Source organism: Homo sapiens, chromosome 18 (genome assembly GCF_000001405.40).
Source record: "Homo sapiens chromosome 18, GRCh38.p14 Primary Assembly".
NCBI classification, from domain to species: domain Eukaryota; kingdom Metazoa; phylum Chordata; class Mammalia; order Primates; family Hominidae; genus Homo; species Homo sapiens.
The window spans coordinates 44,571,735-44,593,078 of NC_000018.10; the positions used below are offsets into that span (position 1 = coordinate 44,571,735).

The 21,344-nt window shown below is 40.4% G+C and overlaps 1 long non-coding RNA gene across 1 annotated transcript, besides 1 other annotated feature; it reads right to left on the bottom strand.

The window, feature by feature from the left end:
- Positions 1–6,228: 6,228 nt before the first annotated feature.
- On the bottom strand, positions 6,229–8,219 carry LOC124904290 (uncharacterized). Its single transcript, XR_007066347.1, has 2 exons — positions 7,757–8,219; positions 6,229–6,529 (listed from the first exon to the last, which is right to left on the bottom strand). It is a non-coding gene; the product is annotated as an uncharacterized LOC124904290 (long non-coding RNA).
- Positions 7,323–7,824: an enhancer, noted in NCBI's record as "NANOG hESC enhancer chr18:42159022-42159523 (GRCh37/hg19 assembly coordinates)". NCBI's record gives its function as "activates a minimal SCP1, AML or CMV promoter by ChIP-STARR-seq in primed H9 embryonic stem cells {active_cell/tissue: H9 hESC(primed)}" and the evidence as "EXISTENCE:reporter gene assay evidence [ECO:0000049][PMID:30033119]".
- Positions 8,220–21,344: the final 13,125 nt, after the last annotated feature.

A 21,344-nucleotide genomic window follows, 5' to 3' on the forward strand; every position in this document is an offset into this window, starting at 1 on the left:
TATAATTCATCCTTCAGAAGATGGTCATATTAAAATTGAGTTTTGTAGAAGAGTAGAAAGGAAGAGGACTTGGTCAGAGAGTTCTGACCTCAAATATTGTCTTTGCTACTTACTAATCCTGAAAAAGTTACCTTCTCTAGGTCTCAGTTTCTTAATCCGTAAAATTATACCAATGCCTACTACATTTTTGTACATTATAGTAACATTTTTGCACATCAGTTTTATACATATATACACATATAAATATATACGTATATAATATACATATAATGTATATAAAATATATACATGTATGTGTATTTTTATGTAAATATTAACAAAATTCAATCTGATCATTTTTTTTTCCTAGGGAAACAGACCTGCTTTTCTCAGCAAAGACTCTTGTCCTAAAACTGTCTTATTCCATTCTTCCATTAAAACATAACTTTCTCTTTGACATCCTCTTAGGGTCCAGCATTTGACTAGTAAGGTACCTTTTCAGACTAAGGTGTTAGTAGAACATTTCTTTGTGATGGAGTATTCCCATTTTTAACTAGAAAATTCTGGATATCTTACCCTGATAGATTTTAATCTTAATATTATTAAACATTATTAAATTGATAAATCTATGCTGATAGAAAGCCATTAAGAAATAAAGTTGGGGTTTAATTGCTTGGGGATAACTTTACATTTTTAAAAACTTCTTCTGCATAGGTGACTATGTCGTAGGTTAATCATGAGCTTGTAACTGAACCAAAGCCAACAAAATGCATTTCAGTAGAATAAACATAAGGCCCTATGTTTAGATTCAAAACATCCACTTGACAAATAGAAGATGGAGCTTATTTTAGAAATACATGCAAAAATGTGACAGTATTATTTGACTACAAGTTGGGGGTGTTTAAAAGGCTTACACAAAATTAGGTCAGTCACATTTATACATCTGTCAAATCGGTATCATGAGACAATATAGCTGGTTCCACTGTGATGGCTGGACTATAGGTGGAACTCAAGATAACCTATTTTAAGATACCCTGCCAAAAGAAGACAATGAAAGGTCTAAATATCATGTCAAATGAGATTCACCTGAGGCAAATGGGCATCTCTACCCAGAAGACTAGAAGATTAAAAGAAAATACAAATAATTAAGAGACTGTTATAAGAAAGAGAAAAAAGCTGGGCATAGTGGCTCACACCTGTAATCCCAGCACTTTGGGAGGCCGGGTGGGTGGATCACAAAATCAGGAGTTCAAGACCAGCCTGGCCAAGATGGTGAAACCCCGTCTCTACTAAAAATACAAAAATTAGCCGGGCGTGGTGGCAGGCACCTGTAATCCCAGCTACTCGGGAGACTGACGCAGAGAATTGCTTGAACCTGGGAGGCAGAGGTTGCAGTGAGCTGAGATCGAGCCAATGCACTCCAACCTGGGCAACAGAGTGAGATTCTGCCTCAAGAAAAGAAAGAGAAAAAAGAGAGGTGACTCTAAAGGACAGAATTAAGACGACTTGTTAGGAACGGTGAACACATCTATTTTGCTGCATATAAGAAACGGCTTTCGAGTAAGTAGAGCTACACAAAAATGGAAGGGTCTATTTCACAAAGAAATAACTTACTGTTTTCTGCAACTTCAAAGCCTAGTGTAGTTCTTGACTCATGGTAGAAGAAGGGAGGGAGGGGAAGAAGGGAGGAAGGGGAAGAAGGAAGACGGGAAGGAAGGAGGGAAGGGAGAATGGAGGGTAGAAGGAGGGAAGAAAGTGGGAGGGGAGAAGGGAGGAAGTTGCCCTCTCAACTCACAGCTAGAGCCAGCCCCTTTTCCCTAAATAGATCAGGATTTCTTATTAAAACCACATCACCTGCCCTTTCCCAGAAAGTTTCCTCAATCACCACCTGGTCCAAATTTGCTTTAAACGGACTCTTTCACAGTGAAATTCCACTTCGAACTTAACCTAACTCTGAAAGGCAGGGCATGACAAAAGTGTTCATTTTCCTAACTGGAAAAAAAAAAAAATCTTGAAATTTCTCACATATATTTTTATTCTTTTCTATTATAAATGTTAGACATAGTGCAGTTTCAGCATCTGCCAGCAAAATATATACAGATATATATATATATATATATATATATATATATATAAACCATTGTGGAATAAAATTTCGTCAAAATAAGGGAAGATGGGTGAAGGACACATAACAATTTTTAATAGAACCATATTTTCTTAAACCTTAAATTCCAGTATTCAATATATCTTTGTTGAGTAAAATTTGTTTGTTCATGCTTAGAGATTTCATATAGTCCAGTCCTGAGTCTAATCAGAAATTCCTGTTACATTTAAAAGAGTTTCATAGCATCGACTTGTTTTTTAAAATTTTAACGACAAAAAAAAAAAAAAAAAGCACGAAATGGCCATTCTGTAACAGTCACTTAATTCACCTTGGTAATATGCCTTAACTATGCATCATCCCTTTTGGTTGACTCTGATGGACCTGATTTCTGACATATCCTTTAGGATGATCTAAAGAACAACCTGAGAGTTGTAATCAGGAAATCTGGGTATTAGTCCCAGATCCACTACTTCGTAAACGTGTGGCCTTGGGCAATTCCCATAGCTCTTCTGGGCCCCAATTTTCTCAGATGTAAAAGGAGATAAAATTATTACTCCATTTTACCTGTCTGCCTTATTGCAAAATTATCTGACATATCCTATATGACAGGCTTTAGTAATCTGTGAAGAGTTTTTTTTTTTTTTTTTGAGATGGAGTTTCACTCTTGTAATCCAGGCTGGAGTGCAGTGGCACAATCTCAGCTCACTGTAACCTCTGCCTGCCTCCTGGGTTCACGCCATTCTCCTGCCTCAGCCTTCCATGTAGTTGGGATTACAGGTGCCCACCACCACACCTGGCTAATTTTTTGTATTTTTAGTAGAGATGGGGTTTTGCCACGTTGGCCAGGTTGGTCTTGAACTCCTGGCCTCAGGTGATCTGCCTGCCTCAGCCTCCCAAAGTGCTGGGATTACAGGCATGAGCCACCGCACCCTGCCTGCAAAGACTTTTAAATAGCATAGACATCCTTGTCCTTCACAAGTTTATGAGCAAACAAAAATATCCTTATCTCATTCTCAAGGAGCAATATTGGATTGGGTTCCTTCTCAAATTCACAAGATCTCTATAGACAAAACCATTGCTGTGCCTGGAGAGTGGCTAGGATCATCACAGAGAGACGGCGATGCGACTGAGCTCCATTGATGGATATTTTGTTTTCTTGTGGAACTAAAGCAATAACAAAACCCGATTTACAATAACGTATTTCCTAAACTTCTGCTTTCTATATTTTTTGTCACTATGTATAGTTCAAAGCATAATTGAAGCCTATGTGGACTTTGTACACCCTGGAAATCTGAGAAGGACCTTGAATTAAAAGGCTACTTTTATTATACCTTATAAGTCTACTTTTATGATTATTTCATAATGGCGTAACGCATGGGGCTCATACCACTCTGAATTCTTATCAGAGTCCTACCACCAAAGATACTCACAGCCTAATCCCCAGAACCTTATGCATTCCATATGTGACCCTACATAGCAAATGGGAGTATGCAGGTATGGTTATGTTAAGGATCTTGACATAGGGATATTATCCAGAATCAGCTGAGTAATCATTGGGATCCTTATAAGAGGGAGACAGACGAGTCACAGGTGTAAAGGAAATGTTGATGCTAGAAGTGGTGGTCAGAGCGATGCAGGGTCATGAGTCAAGGAATGTGGACAGCCAAAAAGGCAAAGACACAGATTTTCCCTAGAGCCTCCAGAAGAAACAGCCAGCCCTGCTGACACCTTGATTTTAGCACACAGCGCCTGATTTTTGACTCCTGGCCTTCATAATTTAAATGAATGAATGAATGAATGAATGAATGAATTCATGTTGTTTTAAGCTGCTAAGTGTGTAGTAATTTGTTAAAACAGTAACTAGAAACTAATACACTAGATCTATAAAAATATCTCTCTAAAATAAAATAATTGTCACAAACATCTACACATCTAACATCAGTTCTGACATTCTATAGATAGTCTTACTCTTGGGAAAATCTAGTTTCTCGTATGGCAGTATAGTTAGATTTTATACAGATAATTAGGGCTCTGTTGCTTCTAGAAATGAGCTTGTTTCTCTGTTGTAAGTTGTTTGTATTTTGGTTTTAGTTCTTGTATTTATTTGCCTGAAGGAAAAAAAATGGTATGTGTATTTTTTTTCTGGAACAAAATAGGGATAAAAATAAATGAATAGATGCAATGAAAGGAGTACTGGCTGCAAATGGAGAGACTTGGTCTCTAGTCCTGCCTTTGCTAGTGGGTAGGCCACTTCACCTCTCTGTCTCTGTGTTTGTGTGTGTGTGTGTGTGTGTGTGTGTGTGTGTGTGTGTTTCCTGGTGCTACCATAACAAATTACCACAAACTGAGTGGCTTCAAACAACAGAAATTATCTCACAGTTCAGGAAGCCAGAAGTACAGGATTAAGGCGTCAGTAGCATTAGTTCCTTCTGGAACCTCAGAAGGGGAATTTATGCTTCCTCTTAGCTTCTGCTGGTTGCAGCAGTCCAGTTTGCAGCATTCTTCTGCTTGTAAGTGCATCACTCCAATCCTTGACTGTCATCACATGGGACCTCTTCCCCGATTGTCTTTTCTGTGTCTCTGTTTTCTCTTCTTATAAAGACACTAAGCATTGGATTTAGGGCCCGCCTTAATCCAATATGACCCCTCTATCAGTCACGACTCTCCAGAGGAATAGATCCATTAGGATGTATATATCTACATGCAGAAAGAGGTTTAAGGAATTGGCTCACTTGATTATGAGGGCTGACAAATCCCGAGATGTGCAGTGGGCAAGTCGAAGAACCAGGAGAGGTGATAATGTAGTTCTAGTCCAAAGGCCAAGAGGCTCCAGAGCCAGGAAAAGCCAATGTTTCAGTTTGAGTCCAAAGAAAGGGAAAAACCAGTGCTTCACCTGGAAGGCAGTCAGGCAAGAGGAACTCACCCTTTTTCCAGGGATGGTCAGCCTTTTTGTTCTAGTTCAGCCTTCAACTGAATAGATGAGGCCCATTCACATCAGGCAGGGCAATTTGCTGTACTCAGTCTATTCATTTAAATGTTAAGCTCATCCAAAAACATCCTCACAGAAATACCCAGAATAATGTTCGACCAAATATCTGGGCACCCTGAAGCCCAAGGAAGTTGACACATAAAATTAATTATTACAACCTTATCTTAATTTTATTGCAAGGATCCTACTTCCAAATAAGGTCACATCTGAGATTCCAGGTAAACATGAATTTTGGAGGGTGGGGCACTCTTCCACCCTCTATATCCTCTCCATTGCCTTTTCTGTGAAATGAGGGCCTGGACCTGCGGGATGGGAGCAGGTCCTCTATAGCAAGGGGTTTCGGGTGCTGATAAGATTGAGAAATGCTGCTTTGAACAAAATCGGCCTGATTTCTTTATCACTGGCCCTTGCTGAGACTTTATTTCATAAAGAAGTACTGCGAATCTTCAAGAGGAAGATACTGCTCTGTTTTTTCAGGGCTTATTTGATTATAGAAACCCCTGTCTGGTTTTTTTTGGCATGCCTAGGAACACCTCTCAATACAGGGTTCCCTGGAACCCCGTTTCAGAAACACTGGACTAGATCAGTGATCTCCAAGTTCTCAATTTCCAATAATCTGTGGTTCTATAGATCATTAGTTCTCCAACTTCCTTTTAAAAAATAAAGTACTCTTAGGCTGGGCGCAGTGGCTCACGCCTGTAATCCCAACACTTTGGGAGGCCGAGGCGGGCAGATCACAAGGTCAGGAGATCGAGACCATCCTGGCTAACGCGGTGAAACCCCTGTCTCTAATAAAAATACAAAAAAATTAGCCGGGCCTGGTGGCAGGCACCTGTAGTCCCAGCTACTCAGGAGGCTGAGGCAGGAGAATGATGTGAACCCGGGAGGCAGAGCTTGCAGTGAGCCGAGATCGCGCCACTGCACTCCAGCCTAGGCAACAGAGCGAGACTCTGTCTCAAAAAAATAAAAAATAAAAATAATAATAATAATAATAAAGTACTGTTGAACTCCCAGTATTGGTTTAAATTATATTTATTAAAATGTTACTTAAATATGAATATACATAAACTACCTATAAATCCCTTATGCTTCTGACTCTTATAGAACTATAAAAACCAAACAAATGTGCAAACGAATTCAAAGAAAACCAATAAAATTAAAATTAACAACATTAATTTAATGTGATATCATTTTGTTGGAATTATATCATTGCTCACAATGTGCATACTGTATGCTCTGTTCCAATGCAGTTCAACAAATTTATTACAATGTGCCACAGGTGACTCGATCCTCACACCGTTTTTTTTCTCTATTCAAATTCCAGGAAGGCTTTATTTGCACAGCTCTTAGGGATGCCGTTTGCCTTCTTATGGTGGGAGCACACAATTTATATATTTTTTATACCTCTGTATTTTTTTTTCTTATTACTGGTAAGCATTAGATAGTTCTTTGTATTACTGCAATAATAAACACAAATAGAAAGAAAGCTATGAATATTGCGAGTAGGTAATTAAGTAGCCATCCAAACATCCAAAATATCCAGAATGTCTTTGCTTTAGATTCACATGATCATTAGACTAAAATAAGACACTTTAAAACAAGTATAAAAATAAGAGATAGTTGGCAAATCTCTTTAACCTTTAATTTTTTAGAGCCCATTTTAAAAGTGCCAACTACAGATGCTTGTAGTTCTCCCACATGAACTTGAAATTCCTCTACAGAGTCTAGCTCATTTCTTTTCTTCCATTCTCTTCCCAGGAACCAAGGAGTTAATAATACTCATGAAGATGATGCTCCACCATGGGTCCTAACCACTTGTCTCTATTTGGGAAATCACGGCCATGAATGTTTCCTTCATAAGACTCTATGTAGAAATTTGTGTAGTGTACTGTGGCTTCTGCAGACTCCCAGTTCAACCTCCAGTAAGAAAGGGACAAGTCTAACAATCTCTCTAAAATGACTCTCTTAGATTGCCCATAAAAAAAATGTCATTAATTCGGACTTAACTGGGCTATGAAGAGGCCAGTAGGAATTAGAGAAGTCCTTTCTCTTCACTGTCTAGTAAACATAACAATTCAAACCAGCTTAACGAAGTGTGAAGAAGCAGAGATCCTTTAATGGCCTGCTTTAATGAACAGGTAAGAACATTTTAAAAATAGCACAATGATTGTTTTCTTGCAAATTTGATTCTCTACTATTCTATTAAGCACTTTAATTATCTGCAATCTTGTTTACCCCAGTAATTTGCTAAGAAAACCTTTTCCTTCCTAGCAAGAGTAGAAGCAACATTTAGCTCAGGCTGGTCCAAATAAGCAAGAGTTTCAAATTAGTAGCATCTGATTTAATTAGATTTTACTAACAGCCAAGTCAGGAAAATGCATTAACCCACTTAGCCCACTAGGGGTTCCCTTTGTGTTCTGAAGTTAATCGCTGCCATTTACTTCCTTGCCTGTTGCGGCCTTCCTGGCTGCTTTCTCATTTACAATAGGGTGGGCAACTTTTTGACAAACCTCACTCAACCTCACCAGCATTCCCAGCTCAGCAGATGGTGGATGAATGGTGATTTGGCTGTCAGTCTGCATGATGACATTAGAAGGTCACCAAAACGCCACCCGGACCAAAATCATTATACCTTTTTGTTTGTGCAGCAAGTCCGGAAGGAGCTATCGCATAGACATACTCACCATTAACACTACTTCTTGAGGACTTTTCGAGTTAGCTCACTTTTTACATCCTCACAGTATCACTTTTTCTCTGTTAGTCACACATTCCATGTACATTAGCATGTAGTGCTTGTTTCTATTAACTTAAATTTCTGAGAGGTATGCTGCATCTTTACCACGACGTGGCTTGGAGGACAGAAGTTCCTTTTTCTTGCATTTTTGTTCAGACCTCCCTCCTAAGCCTGTGGCACAATGATAAACCTGGGATCATAGAGTTGCTACCTTAGGATAGAGTAATTGTGAGGTAATACTTTTTAAGTGTTTTAAACAGTATCTAACTAAGAGTTAAGTGCCCAAGGGATGTTAGGGAATAAATAAGTGTAGATACTTCAGTCATTAACTTCTATTATCAGGACCTACGCTTTCTGATTATTCACTCACTCCACAAGCATGATTTGTCCTCCTACGTGGTGCCAGCCACTGTGCTACACAGGAGATGACGTAACAATGAAGACAAACGTCTCTCCTCTCAAGTGGCTTTCGGTTGGCAAAGTAGCTATAATAAAGTGAACTCATTCAGTTCCCTACTCCCAATCTCAAAGAAATCGTTACAAAAAGGGGGTGGGCATTAATCAATACGATTTGTAATATTATCCTGGAGAAAATTAGCACAGTTGGGAAAATTTATATTTAGGAGAAATTATTTCAACCAATCACCAGGAAGGCTTTTTTTTTTCCTGAATATAATATTAATAATCTGTACTAGGCCTAAAATAATGTTTATTTTATTCTCCTCTGGTTCTAAAAATACACAATGGCCTGAAAGCCAAAATCTAACTTGTAATTTTCACAGCTGAATCATATTCATTTCCTTCCAAATCGGATACTCCTGGGCACTGCCACCAAAACTCAACAGCAGCCCAACTCGAAGCCCAAAAGCTCCCCTGGGGAGGGGCTGGGGTGGTTGCATTCCATTTATAGCAAGATGAAAAAGAACATCTCTAAAGTAGAGGATATTCAATCAATAGACAGAAAGATGGGGTAGAAGACCTTCAAAGCTCTTTCCAATCCCAGATCCCATTGAGAGGTGACAGCGTGCTGGCAGTCCTCAGAGCCCTCGCTTGCTCTTGGCACCTCCTCTGCCTGGGCTCCCACTTTGGCGGCATTTGAGGAGCCCTTCAGCCCACCACTGCACTGTGGGAGCCCCTTTCTAGGCTGGCGAAGGCTGGAGCCCACTCCCTCAGCTTGCAGGGAGGTGTGGAGGGAGAGGCGCGAGCGGGAACCGGGGCTGCGTGCAGCGCTTGCGGGCCAGCTGGAGTTCCGGGTGGGCGTGGGCTTGGCGGGCCCCGCACTCGGAGCAGCCGGCCAGCCCTGCCGACCCCGGGCAACGACGGACTTAGCACCCGGGCCAGTGGCTGCGGAGGGTGTACTGGGTCCCCCAGCAGTGCCAGCCCACCGGCGCTGCGCTCGATTTCTCACGGAGCCTTAGCCGCCTTCCCGCGGGGCAGGGCTCGGGACCTGCAGCCTGCCATGCCTAAGCCTCCCACCCACTCCATGGGCTCCTGTGCTGCCCGAGCCTCCCCGACAAGCACCACCCCCTGCTCCACGGCGCCCAGTCCCATTGATCACCCAAGGGCTGAGGAATGCGAGCTCACTGCGCAGGACTGGCAGGCAGCTCCACCTGCAGCCCCGGTGTGGGATCCACTAGGTGAAGCCAGCTGGGCTCCTGAGTCTGGTGGGGACGTGGAGAGTCTTTATGTCTAGCTCAGGGATTGTAAATACACCAATCAGCACCCTGTGTTTAGCTCAAGGTTTGTGAGTGCACCAATGGACACTCTGTATCTAGCTGCTCTGGTGGGGCCTTGGAGAACCTTTATGTCTAGCTCAGGGATTGTAAACACACCAATCGGCACTCTGTATCTAGCTCAAGGTTTGTAAACACACCAATCAGCACCCAGTGTTTAGCTCAAGGTTTGTAAACACACCAATCAGCACCCAGTGTTTAGCTCAAGGTTTGTGAATGCACTAACCGACACTCTGTATCTAGCTGCTCTGGTGGGGCCTTGGAGAACCTGTGTGTCCAAACTCTGTATCTAACTAATCTGATGGGGACATGGAGAACCTCTGTATCTAGCTCAGGGATTGTAAACGCACCAATCAGCGCCCTGTCAAAACAGGCCACTCGGCTCTACCAATCAGCAGGATGTGGGTGGGGCCAGATAAGACAATAAAAGCAGGCTGCCCGAGCCAGCATTGGCAACCCGCTCGGGTCCCCTTCCACACTGGGGAAGCTTTGTTCTTTCACTCTTTGCAATAAATCTTGCTACTGCTCACTCTTTGGGTCCACGCTGCTTTTATGAGCTGTAACACTCACCGCGAAGATCTGCAGCTTCACTCCTGAGCCAGCGAGACCAGGAACCCACAAGAAGGAAGAAACTCCGAACACATCTGAACATCAGAAGGGACAGACTCCAGACGCGCCACCTTAAGAGCTGTAACACTCACCGCGAGGGTCCGCGGCTTCATTCTTGAAGTCAGTGAGACCAAGAACCCACCAATTCCGGACACACCATTATGCTGGGAGACTTAATGAGTGGCTCATGAAATGTGATAAACATCCTGGGCAGAATATGAGTGGAAGCCAGGTGTTCTAATCTCCAGCTGATGAGTTTGCAAAGCAGATTGTGGTGGGCCTGGTCTACAGCTCAAGGAATAAAATAGTGCTATCTTTTCATTAAGGAAAATAGCTTATAGGACAAAGAAATAGCAGGTTAGCAAACCATTTTATGTGAACCCACAAAGCATTCTCTAAGCCCCAGTTTGTGAGAGGCAGATAGATATACACAAAGGTTGTAGAGGCAGTCACAGCTGGAGAGCTAATAAGTTTTTGAGAGATGATTTGGCCCTTAGATGACACCACTCCCTTCTCATTAGGGGGCACTTGAGAGGGAGAGGCAGCAACAGCCTTCCCTGACCTTCCCTGCAGGCCCTGAGCAGAAGTTGAATAAAGGCCTGGAGTAATTTTAGAGCTGATGGGATGATGGCCTTTTTGTGGCTAGAATGTTCACTCTAGGAAATTTTGAAAATAAGACACAGTGGCATGGTAATCTAAGAGTCTATTTATAAACAAGGATTCTAAATTTTGATGAACCAAAGAATAGGCATAAATTCAAAATACATACTTGTCACCATTAAGAACATTCTTCTCCAAAAGAACAGAATTTCTCAAGCCAATCTCTGACTGGGACAGGAACCAAGAAATATACTGCTTAGGGTTGTGGATTTTAAAGATTCATGAACTCTCCTAGGGAAATCTATATTAAAAATTAAGAGCATGGAACTTGGAGTCAAAACTGAGTTAGATTCTAGTCTTATTCTATATTAGCTACACAACCTGTTATTTAATCTCTTTGAGGCCTCATTTTCTCATTTTTATAATGAAATATCATGACCTTGGATAGTTCAGTAGAAGTTTTGGGGTTACAACCAAAGAGTCGGAAATTTTAAATGCGAGGGGTCCCTGGGTTTGTTCCTCTACTCTCCATCTTCATGAGACCAGAAGACTAGGGTGTCAAAAAAAACTGTACCCCAAGCTCAGCTAAGAAGCTGGGCAGGCAGAGAAAGGAGCACAGTCCAACTCTCAGAGTTGAAAAGAAGGTTCAACTTCTGAAAGATCTTTGATAACTTAATCGCTGGAAACATATGAGTGAGTTCTTTTTCCTCATTTATTTGCTCATTTATTATCCCTTGCAAGTCCAAGGGCTATACTGGCCATTATAAGGCAGACCCACTTTTCTGCTTCAAGCTAGGACACTTTGCTCCAATGTGGGGAACTCTCTTGGACCACAAATAGGAGGAAAATTTAAGTCATCTGAATTCTGAATTATTCAGAACCATAAAGCTGAACTTGCCATCCAAGCCACCAGAGGAATAAATTTTTCAGTATGCCTCAGCTTTGTGAATTTGTACATTTGAGAAGTTTTGTGAGTTTGTGAGTTTGTCCTCATTTTCTTCATTCATACCAAACTTTACAGAGATTAGCATATTTTTAGTGACACTAAAGACAAGATTCATCCCATTCATTGAATCTCTTTTTGAATCAAATGTATAATGAGCCTATGCTTATAATTATCAATCCCAGTGAACCCCACTTCATTTCTCTGTGACTGTCCCAAGACACACCTTCAGCCCTGGATTCTCCATTGTGCCAGTGTCATTTTTTCAACTGTGTATTAGGCATTTGAGGATAAACTGCTGCCCGCTAAAGCTAATATATTTAACATTAAATTTATATTTTCTCCAAAGCACTTCATTTTATTAAATAGCCACTAAATGAATACTTGTTGGCTAAACCCGTAAAACTCTTCTGTTCATCTTGATATTAACATCCATTGCTCCATTATTCCCTCCGTTTACAAGCCTTGAACACATTCCTGTCTTTGACTCCGCCCTTTCCATGAACCCTCAAGTTCAATTAATCACCAGTTTGTTCAAATATTTCTTTGACACACATTCACCCTTGTCAATGCCCAGATTCAAGGATCTTACTATTTTATAACCTTTATTAAATTCTTTATTCTCACTTTCTCCCTCATTCTAATCTATCTTTTTAATTAATCGATAGTTACCAACCATGGCTTTGACTCAGGACTTACCATTTCTTCAGTAGTGAAATGTGCCAGGCAGTGTTTTAAGATCCTAAAGCTGTAGGTTTTAATCTGTGTTGCAAAGATCCATGGGAGTCCCATAGAGGGAGGAAGCTAAGGGGAACTTCAAGGCTCTTTTGTCTCCTCTTCCACCAGAGATGATCGTTCGTTTCCTCTATTTTACATATAGGAATCTACATAAATTGCTTTCAAATTGTCTTTCTTGGCAAAAACGAGTTTGAGAATCATTGGTACATGTGTAAAAGGCAAACCTCCTTAGCCTGCTATTTACAACTTTCCCAATCTAGCCCCACACATCTTTACAAATTAGTTCATTTTATGTCTCTTCATGTTGAGTTTTCTCAATGGTTTTTTCCAATAGATCTTAGGTGCTCTCACCCTCCCTACTCATTGTCTCCTACCTAAATGCTGCCCATCTGTGGTAGTCAATGGTTCTATTATTCATCAAATATGTCTGCTTCTCTATTCTTCTGGTACAAGAGAGGATTACATTTCCTAGGATCTTGTGTATAGTTCTGGCCAGTGACTTTTGAGTGAAAGTGGTTTGTATCCCTTACAGAGAAGAAAATTAATTGTCAGTTGCAGACCCTCCGATGGTCTATCTTTCTCTCTGGTGCTTCATATCTACACTCCAGATAATGGTCACACTATTAGACTCAGTCTAGACTGAGCCTGAGACTGAGCAGAGACTTCAAGTAGATAGAGTGAGTAAGAGCCAAACGTCTGTGCTTAAAAGTCACTAAGATTTTGAGATTTTGTTGTGTTACTGTAATCTTTCCTAAGCAATACACAATCCTTCTTTAAGAATGGGCTAAAATTCTTCTCAAGGCAACTCTTTAAAAAAAAAATCATTTTATTATGTACACCAAACCTGCTACCACCAAGGAAAAATATCTCTCATGAATCATATCTGTGGCATATCAAGTAGTCATTCTATAGAATGCCAAAACACTTATTACTTATGCTCATGGCATTTAAATCAATAGTCTGTCCCATATTGTTAAGTAATAGATGTATGTGCATACCTGTTTTTCATATAAACCACAAACTTCACCTTGATTATTCCCTACTGTGTATCAGAGTGGAGGGAGTATAACACTGTGTGCTTCTCTCCCAGTCCCACCTTGGAGCAAATATATTTATTAATATTCCACATGAAATTTAGTTAAATTACTATCAGAAGGTTGTCAAACGAAAGATTACCTCATGGCCAGGCACAGTGGCTCACACCTGTGATCCCAACACTTTGGGAGACAAAGGTGGGTGAATCACGAGGTCAGGAGTTAGAGACCAGCCTGGCCAACATGGTGAAACCCTGTCTCTACTAAAAATACAAAACATTAGCCGGGCGTAGTGGCAGGCACCTGTAATCCCAGCTACTAGGGAGGCTGAGGGAGGAGAATCGCTTGAACCTGGGAGGCAGAGGTTGCAGTGAGCTGAGATCGTGCCACTGCACTCCAGCCTGGGTGACAGAGTGAGACTCCATCTCAAAAAAAAAAAAAAAGATTATCTCATTAAAATATAGGATAAAAAAATGTACAGCCTAAGAATTAAATATGTGTGTGATGGGCGAGAAAACCAAGTGCCCCAAAGGCTATGCGTAGATATTTCTCATTCATCATTGGCCTCCTCATCCTCCCCTATCTGTAACTTCCTTGAATCAAGAAGAAAACAAAGAGTTTTGAAGGTCCACTAAATTGTAGAGCCAAGGATGAGGACCTCAGCTTGACATATCTTGCACTTCTGTTGTCTGTGAAGTTCAAGACTGTATCAACTTTAAGTTCCTTCTCATATATAGCCCCTGAGTATCCAGCCCAAGGATGCTAAATATGCATTCATTTCTGGGTTGATGGGATTTTTTCAATTCCCCTCAAAGGATTGAATCACTTCCATGGGCATATCAAGTTGAAACAGAAAGTTGGTGACTGCCCTGAATTACTAAAAAGAACTGATAGTAGATAATACTTATTTTGTACTCACAGTGTGCCAGGTATTGCTCTAAGCATTTTGCATGTCTTAATTTAATATAGCATGGTGGTTAGTGTGGGGACCTGGGTCAGACTGCCAGAACTTGAATCCTTGCTCTTTAATTATGGCCTATGTGACCTTGGGCAGTCAACCTCTCTGTGCCGTAGTTTTTTTCATTTGTAAAGTGAGGTGGTTGGTCACAGTGGTTCATGCTTGTAAATCCCAGCACTGTGGAAGGCTGACATAGGAGGACTGCTTGAAGCTAGGAGTTTGATACCAGCCTGGGCAGTACAGCAAGACCCCATCTCTTAAAAAAATTAAGTCAAAATGAAGTAATTATCATGATAGTACCTACTACACAGGGTTGTTGTGAGACTTAAAGGAAGTAACATATTCACAGATCTTAAAACAGTGTAGAGCCAGGCATGGTGGCCCATGCCTATAATCAGAGCTACTCAGGAGGCTGAGGTGGGAGGATCACTTGAGGCCAGGAGTTTGAGCCCAGCCTGGGCAATATAGCAAGACTCTCTCTCTAAGACAACATGAAAAGTCAGTCCAGCACAGTGTCCAAGCTCTGCATGTGCTGCCTGGTTTTCTTTTAGGGAGCCAGTCAGAATATATACTTGGGACCTATAGAACATTGCAGATGGGAGACACTAAAACAAATATCTTCACTCTTAGTGTCATGTCAGGGGAGGCCTATGAGAAATCAGTCATTGTCTTCCAGAGGGATGAGGAAATTTGTTCCTGACAGAGGTTCCTGCCATCTAGCTGTGTTGCCGCTGCTGTTTTGCATTAGAGAGATTTTTCCCCACCCAAGAGATAACCACAATATACTTTGCACTTCAGGGCCTTTCATCCCAGACATTTATGGGATGTGATAACAACTCTCCTAGCATTTGTTTCCCACCAAAGTAGGACAGGCCATCAATGGATTGAGCTTTATGGGAATAGGAATGTTCCAATGCAGTTGAATGAGACAAGAACCAGGTCTAATATAATTCTTCAGAGGAAGAGAGGATGCGCATTTGGCCTGCAGTAATTGGTTTTAGAGCATAAACAATTGCCAAGATGAAAAAGATGAACAGTTTGGCAAATCTCAGCTCTGGAATCCTGTGCAGAGATACTCCCAGGTTGCTGTGTCATCCAGTGCCATAGCCACAGCCTGTCAGCGTTTCACTCCCCAGAACATCTAGAGGAGGTAAATCAGAAGTGAGCAGCCTGGTGCTTGGACAGGTGGGTTGAAGATTTGGCTCAGTCAAATGTGAGGATGGCAGCCCTCCAAAGGCTGGCCTGGAGTAGGAAAGAGGAAGAGAAAGCCATCTCCCCTCCTTTCAAAGGGCCTGGCTTGGAAGCTTGCTTCTTTTTCTGCAGTGGCTGCCAGGAAGGCGTGTGAAGAGTTCTCTAAATGGTGAATGGTAGTCCTATTTGCCAACTATGGGCAATTTGCAGTAGAAAAGAACAGAAAATAGTTGTTTGACATAATATTTGTATTGGTAGTTTAACTATAATTGTAGAAATATTAGAATATATAGAAAAAAATCCATATTATTGGCTCATAACTTCACTGTTTCAAATACCATTCCTTGTTAACTTTCCCCAAAATCATATTTCTACATATTTCACACATGAATATAGTGTGATTTATTTAACCTCTCCTCTTCCCGTGCTTAATTAGGTTGTCTCTAATTTCTGAAAATCACAAAAGGCAGAGATAAATATACTTGACCGTACATTTTTATTGTCATTTCTACCAATTTACTTTGCAGAGATTCCTGGTAGAAAAATTTCTGAGTCAAACGGTATAAGCAAATTGTGATATAAATTATATGTGTGTGTGTGTGTATATATATATATGGAAATATATATGTGTGTGCATATATAACCATATTTGCTTTTCAGGAAGGGATTGTATACTTTCATAACCATACATGAAAGAGTCTAGCTCATCCAAGCCTCCTAGCCTTAAAGACAGATAATAGACAGATGATAGATAGATAGATAGATAGATAGATAGATAGATAATTTGCCTTCATATATAAAAAAATACTGAATTAAATTAAGAAGCAGCTGAAAATTCACCCACATGGAACAATATCATACATTGTAAAATGTCCTGAAGGTTTAAACGGGGTAGGAAATAAATAAAATTGAAAGGCTTCAAGAAGCAGCTAGTCTTAAGTTGAACATAAATGTGTGGTAAGTATTTAATCAGGTAGATTTAAAATAAAAACCTATGTATACCTGGGGAAAGGGGAAAGACTGAACAAAGAGAAGAAGCCAGAATAAGCAAGAAATATTTGGTGGATGGTTTTACCAATGAATGTTTATTTCCACATCTGTTCATTCAAATAATATTTACTTGGTATGTATTAGCTACCTGGCAGTGTGCTAGGTGCTGAAACTCCAAGGATGAATAACAAACACAGCTTTGGTCTCCTAATGAAATAGTCTCCTAACTGGCATCCCTGCCTGCAAGCTCAATCTACCACTATCCATCACTAGTACTGCCATCAAAGCATCTTCCAAACTATAAACCTGTTTACATTACACCCAGGTTTTAATCCCCAGATCATTTTTACAGGATTGGGAAACTTCAGCGGCTTAGCAATGCTTTGGGATAAAATCCAAAGACCTTAATGGGGTTTTCGTGGCTTTTCTCCATCTGGAGGCTTCCTACCTCCTCACATCTAGCCTCTCTTCCTCTCTTCCCAAAAATAATAAGGTTCTTTCAGTTCCTTGAACTGGTCAAATGTGAACTCTTCACACAATGTCTAGACTCCTGGAATTCACAAATGCTGTTTCCTCTTATGAAACATCTCCCCCTCTGAGCCCATGTTCCTGCTTCACCATTTTTCACCTAGCTAACTCCTGTTCATCTTCTAGCAGTCAGATTTGGGAAGGCTTCCCTTGGCCGTGAGTCTGGGTTAAGTTTTCTTGCTACTTATGCTCAAAGCACTTCTTATTTCTCCTAGCATAACTCTCATCACATTTTATTTGCATAGCTTCTTTTATCATAGCACCCTCAAGACTGTAGTCTCTATAAATACAAAAACTGTGTCCTTCATGTTCACCTCCAAGTTCCTAACATTGCGCCTTACACACAGTATTTTCTCAATAATTATTTATTGAAATATTTTGAAATAAAGTTAGTTGTAGGGGACTGACCTGCAACTAACCACCTATTCTATCAACTCAGAGGCCAGATGTTCACAACACTGAATTACGGAGTCAAACATAACCAGCAAAGGTTCTGAACAGAACAGAACCCAGGCTCAGGAACTAAAGCATAGCATGCCAATATAATATCAACTTAGAGCAGTTCAGTTATCTCTCTTCTCTAATGCCTCTCTCCCAAGGCCATGGTAACGAGCTAATAAAACCAAATATGTAGGGCCCTGAATAAGGCATCCATTAAACTCTCACATTTACTAAGTATTCATTCCTTTCCCTTCTCTCAGCTCTTCATCTTACTCCCAAAGAAACTTGGACAAGTCACTTCTTCCGGGGCTTTCATGTTTTTTGCTGTAAAAGTAAAGGATTGGAAAAAACAGTTATTGCCTAAACTGGTCAAACTCAGCATCATTAAGACAGCTTTGGCTGAAAACTTCCAAGGGTGGACCTGGAAGCCAGTTTCTTTATAAAGTTCCCCCAGGTGATCCTGCGGCAGCCAGTCCAACTTAGAACTGCCATCCAGTGTGTTGGAAACACTAGCCTTTTCCAGCTCTAACAGGCAATGGTTTCATTTTTCTCTCTGCTTCTCACATGGAAAGTGTTTATTCAATAAATCAGAATATGACTCACTTGGCTGGCATTTTTTGTTCCACCAGATGAAAACTATGCCATAATTAGCAGTGAAGGTCTACTCTATGTGTATGTGTATGTGCATGTGGGTATATGTGAGAGTGTGTGTGTGTGTTTGTGTGTGTGTGTCTGTGTGTGTGTTGGTGGACTGGGGTGGAGAAGCGTAAAAAAAGTCGTGCATCCCTCAATCACTTCCATTCCTGACTGGCAGAAGTAGACTTACCAATAATGACATTACAGCACAGTGAAGCAGTGAGCTGCTTCCAGAAGGCTGCCCTTAAATAGAGACAAAGTGAAGATGTCCTTTATTCTTCTGCTGTTATTACATCAACATCAATCACATTTGCATGTTGGCCAATGGCCACTGTCCTTTTAAGTAAACACCAGAATACTGGTCATTGTGGGCTCTAAGAATGGGTTGGTAGAAACAAAATCAAGACCAGTCCAGAGCTTTGCCATTAGTTTAACAGGCAGTATGACTAGAACCAAAGCCCATTAAAAAAACACTAATTCGATGTCCACTTGATATAACAATAGAAAATACAAAAGCTGAATGGATCATGCAAGAGATTCAAAGCCCATGGAAAAATTTGAACTCAAAGCTGGCGGAATTATATGGCATATGTTTTCAGTAATCCATAAACATTTCTTGAGCCCCTTCTCTGAACTAGATGTTGTATTATAAATTGGGAATACAAATCTATTAAGACCTGGTCTATCTCTTTAAAGAAATTTCAGTCTATTGATATGGAATTTGAAAGAATGCTAATTAAGGATGCACTGTGTGCTAGCTGTATTACACATGATATTTTATTCAAACTCCTTAACACTTCTACATTGTATCAATATTCCACTGACATTCAAACAGTCTGAACAACTTAATATTCAGAGATAATATTAGAGAAACTGGACTACTTCTTTATTAAGAATACAGATGGAACTGTTCAGAAATATTATATATTGTACAGAAAAGATTTGCAAACATTGCCTTCTAGTAAATAACCATGGCTCAAGCACTAATTAAAGGAATACTCTAATTAAGAATCATCAATCCTAATAAGTTTCTCTGTGACAGCCCAGAAACTTAATGGTTACTGGAGTTTTAAGATGAAAGATTCTGATTCTTCAAATGCCATTGTCATTTGGGTGTTAACCCTAGAATGAGTCCTTGCCAGCCACACAAATCTGTTCTTCTGTCTTCCCAAGCCAGAATAAGCAGAACTTTCCCCTTATTTACATCCACATTTTGGCTAAAGCAACAGTCCAGACTCCAAAGAGTCATATGGAATGCTAACTGGGCACTGGTGGTCAAAGCATCATGCCAAAAAGGCTGAAGTTCTGGAGGCAAAATTCACCCAGTGGCTCCCAGAACAAAAACCCATATATTTTCTTTTTTCCTTTATCAACAAAAAAAAACCATCTCAAAACTAACAGTCTATCTAGGCTAATAATTGGACAATCAAGTATTCACTACTCCCCCCTACTCTTTTTAAAAATCTCATTACTGTAACTGGAAAGAGGTAGAAATAATCTTTGTGTCTGATTGAAAACAGGTTTCCTGATTCTCTTGGGCTTCCACATTTAACAGCTCATTCCACAGAAACAATCTTGCTTCTGCTTGGCCTAGAAAGTTTCTGACTTTATTGGTGCATTTTAACACACAGTCTGTCCCCCTTGAATGTGACCTGTCATCATTGAACTTTGAATATACAAATCCCAATCACCGTCTCCTTCCAAATTAACTGAACACATCTCTCTGTTTTGACTCGAGTTAGATGGTTGCTGCTAAACTTGAAAAGGTTGCGTCTCACTTCCTGGCATCATTGGACAGGTTGCAAATCATAACCACACTAATTAGCACATGGATTTCTGGATTTTAATAATGCCAGGCAAACGGAGATGTAAAGGATGGGAGAGGAGAAAGAGGAAAGGGTCACTCAGGGGAGAAAATGGAAGGGAGGGAACATGGGCAAAAGGAATTTGACTTTGTTTTATCCTCCAAAGCAGATACTTGCTGGAGGATTAACTTCAGGGAAAAATCCTTCAGTATTAGCCTTACTTATTTGTTACACAGAAATAAACATTCCTATTCTTTCTTACTAGATCCTCTTCTCTTCTTATTTTGAATCATGGTAATACAACAGGTTTCAGAAGGTACTGAATTCAATTATTTCTGGCCTTGCTGTCAAGTGCGGTCAAGTCAATTGCAATCTCATCAATTACATAAATGAACTAGAGAAAATGGGTCTTTGGAAAGTTTCTGAGCTAAGCTTTGCTTTCATAGCAAGAAATACCAAACCATCTTTTAAAAGTATACATATATGTGTGCATATACATACACATACATATACATATGTATACACGTATATACATATACACATATATAGATGGTCCCCAAATTGCAATGGTTAGACTTAGAATTTTTTGGCTTTATGATGAGTTTATCAGGACATAATCCCATTGTAAGTCGAAGAGCGTCTGCATGTATATGTATGAAATGCTTCCAGGCCTTCTTCAAATAAAAGAAAATTTTTTAGAGAAAAAAATATCCTTTAGGGAACACCCTCCACCCATCCCAACGGCAGTTATTCCAAATGGAGACTTACTTAATTGTGTCACCTACCTACCTCTTCCTTCTCTAGAATCTCAGGCTATTGCATTGGCATTCTCTAATTAGGAATATATTTGAGATATATCGGAAGAAGCAGACTGTGTGTCTTGATTTTAAACTTTGTCTCTTTGCTTTCTCTGTATTCCCCCACATCCCCCCTTCTCCAGTCCTTCAAATAGCCATGTCCTAAATGAACCTTCCAGCCCAGTCTGATGTTAAAAGAGAAATGTTTATCTTGGAGTGTAGAGATAATTGACAATTAGAAAAGAGGACGCTTTTAGCTCTTGCTCAGGGCACTGAGCTCCTGAACAAAATGCTCTTTTCTTTGAAGCCGAGTGGATTGCTGAGTGACTCAGGCAGGGATATGTGCATGTTTATATTTAGGGCCTACAAGAGTCAAGGAGCTTTCTGGGACAGATTTCCCAACCAGCTGGTCCCAGATAATACCAATAACTCATAAAAGACAAGATCAAATGATCCCAGCCCCTCCTGGTGGGAATTTCTGACTTTAATCCCTGATGTGTTGGTTTAGGGGAACTGATTTTTGGAGTGAAACCCA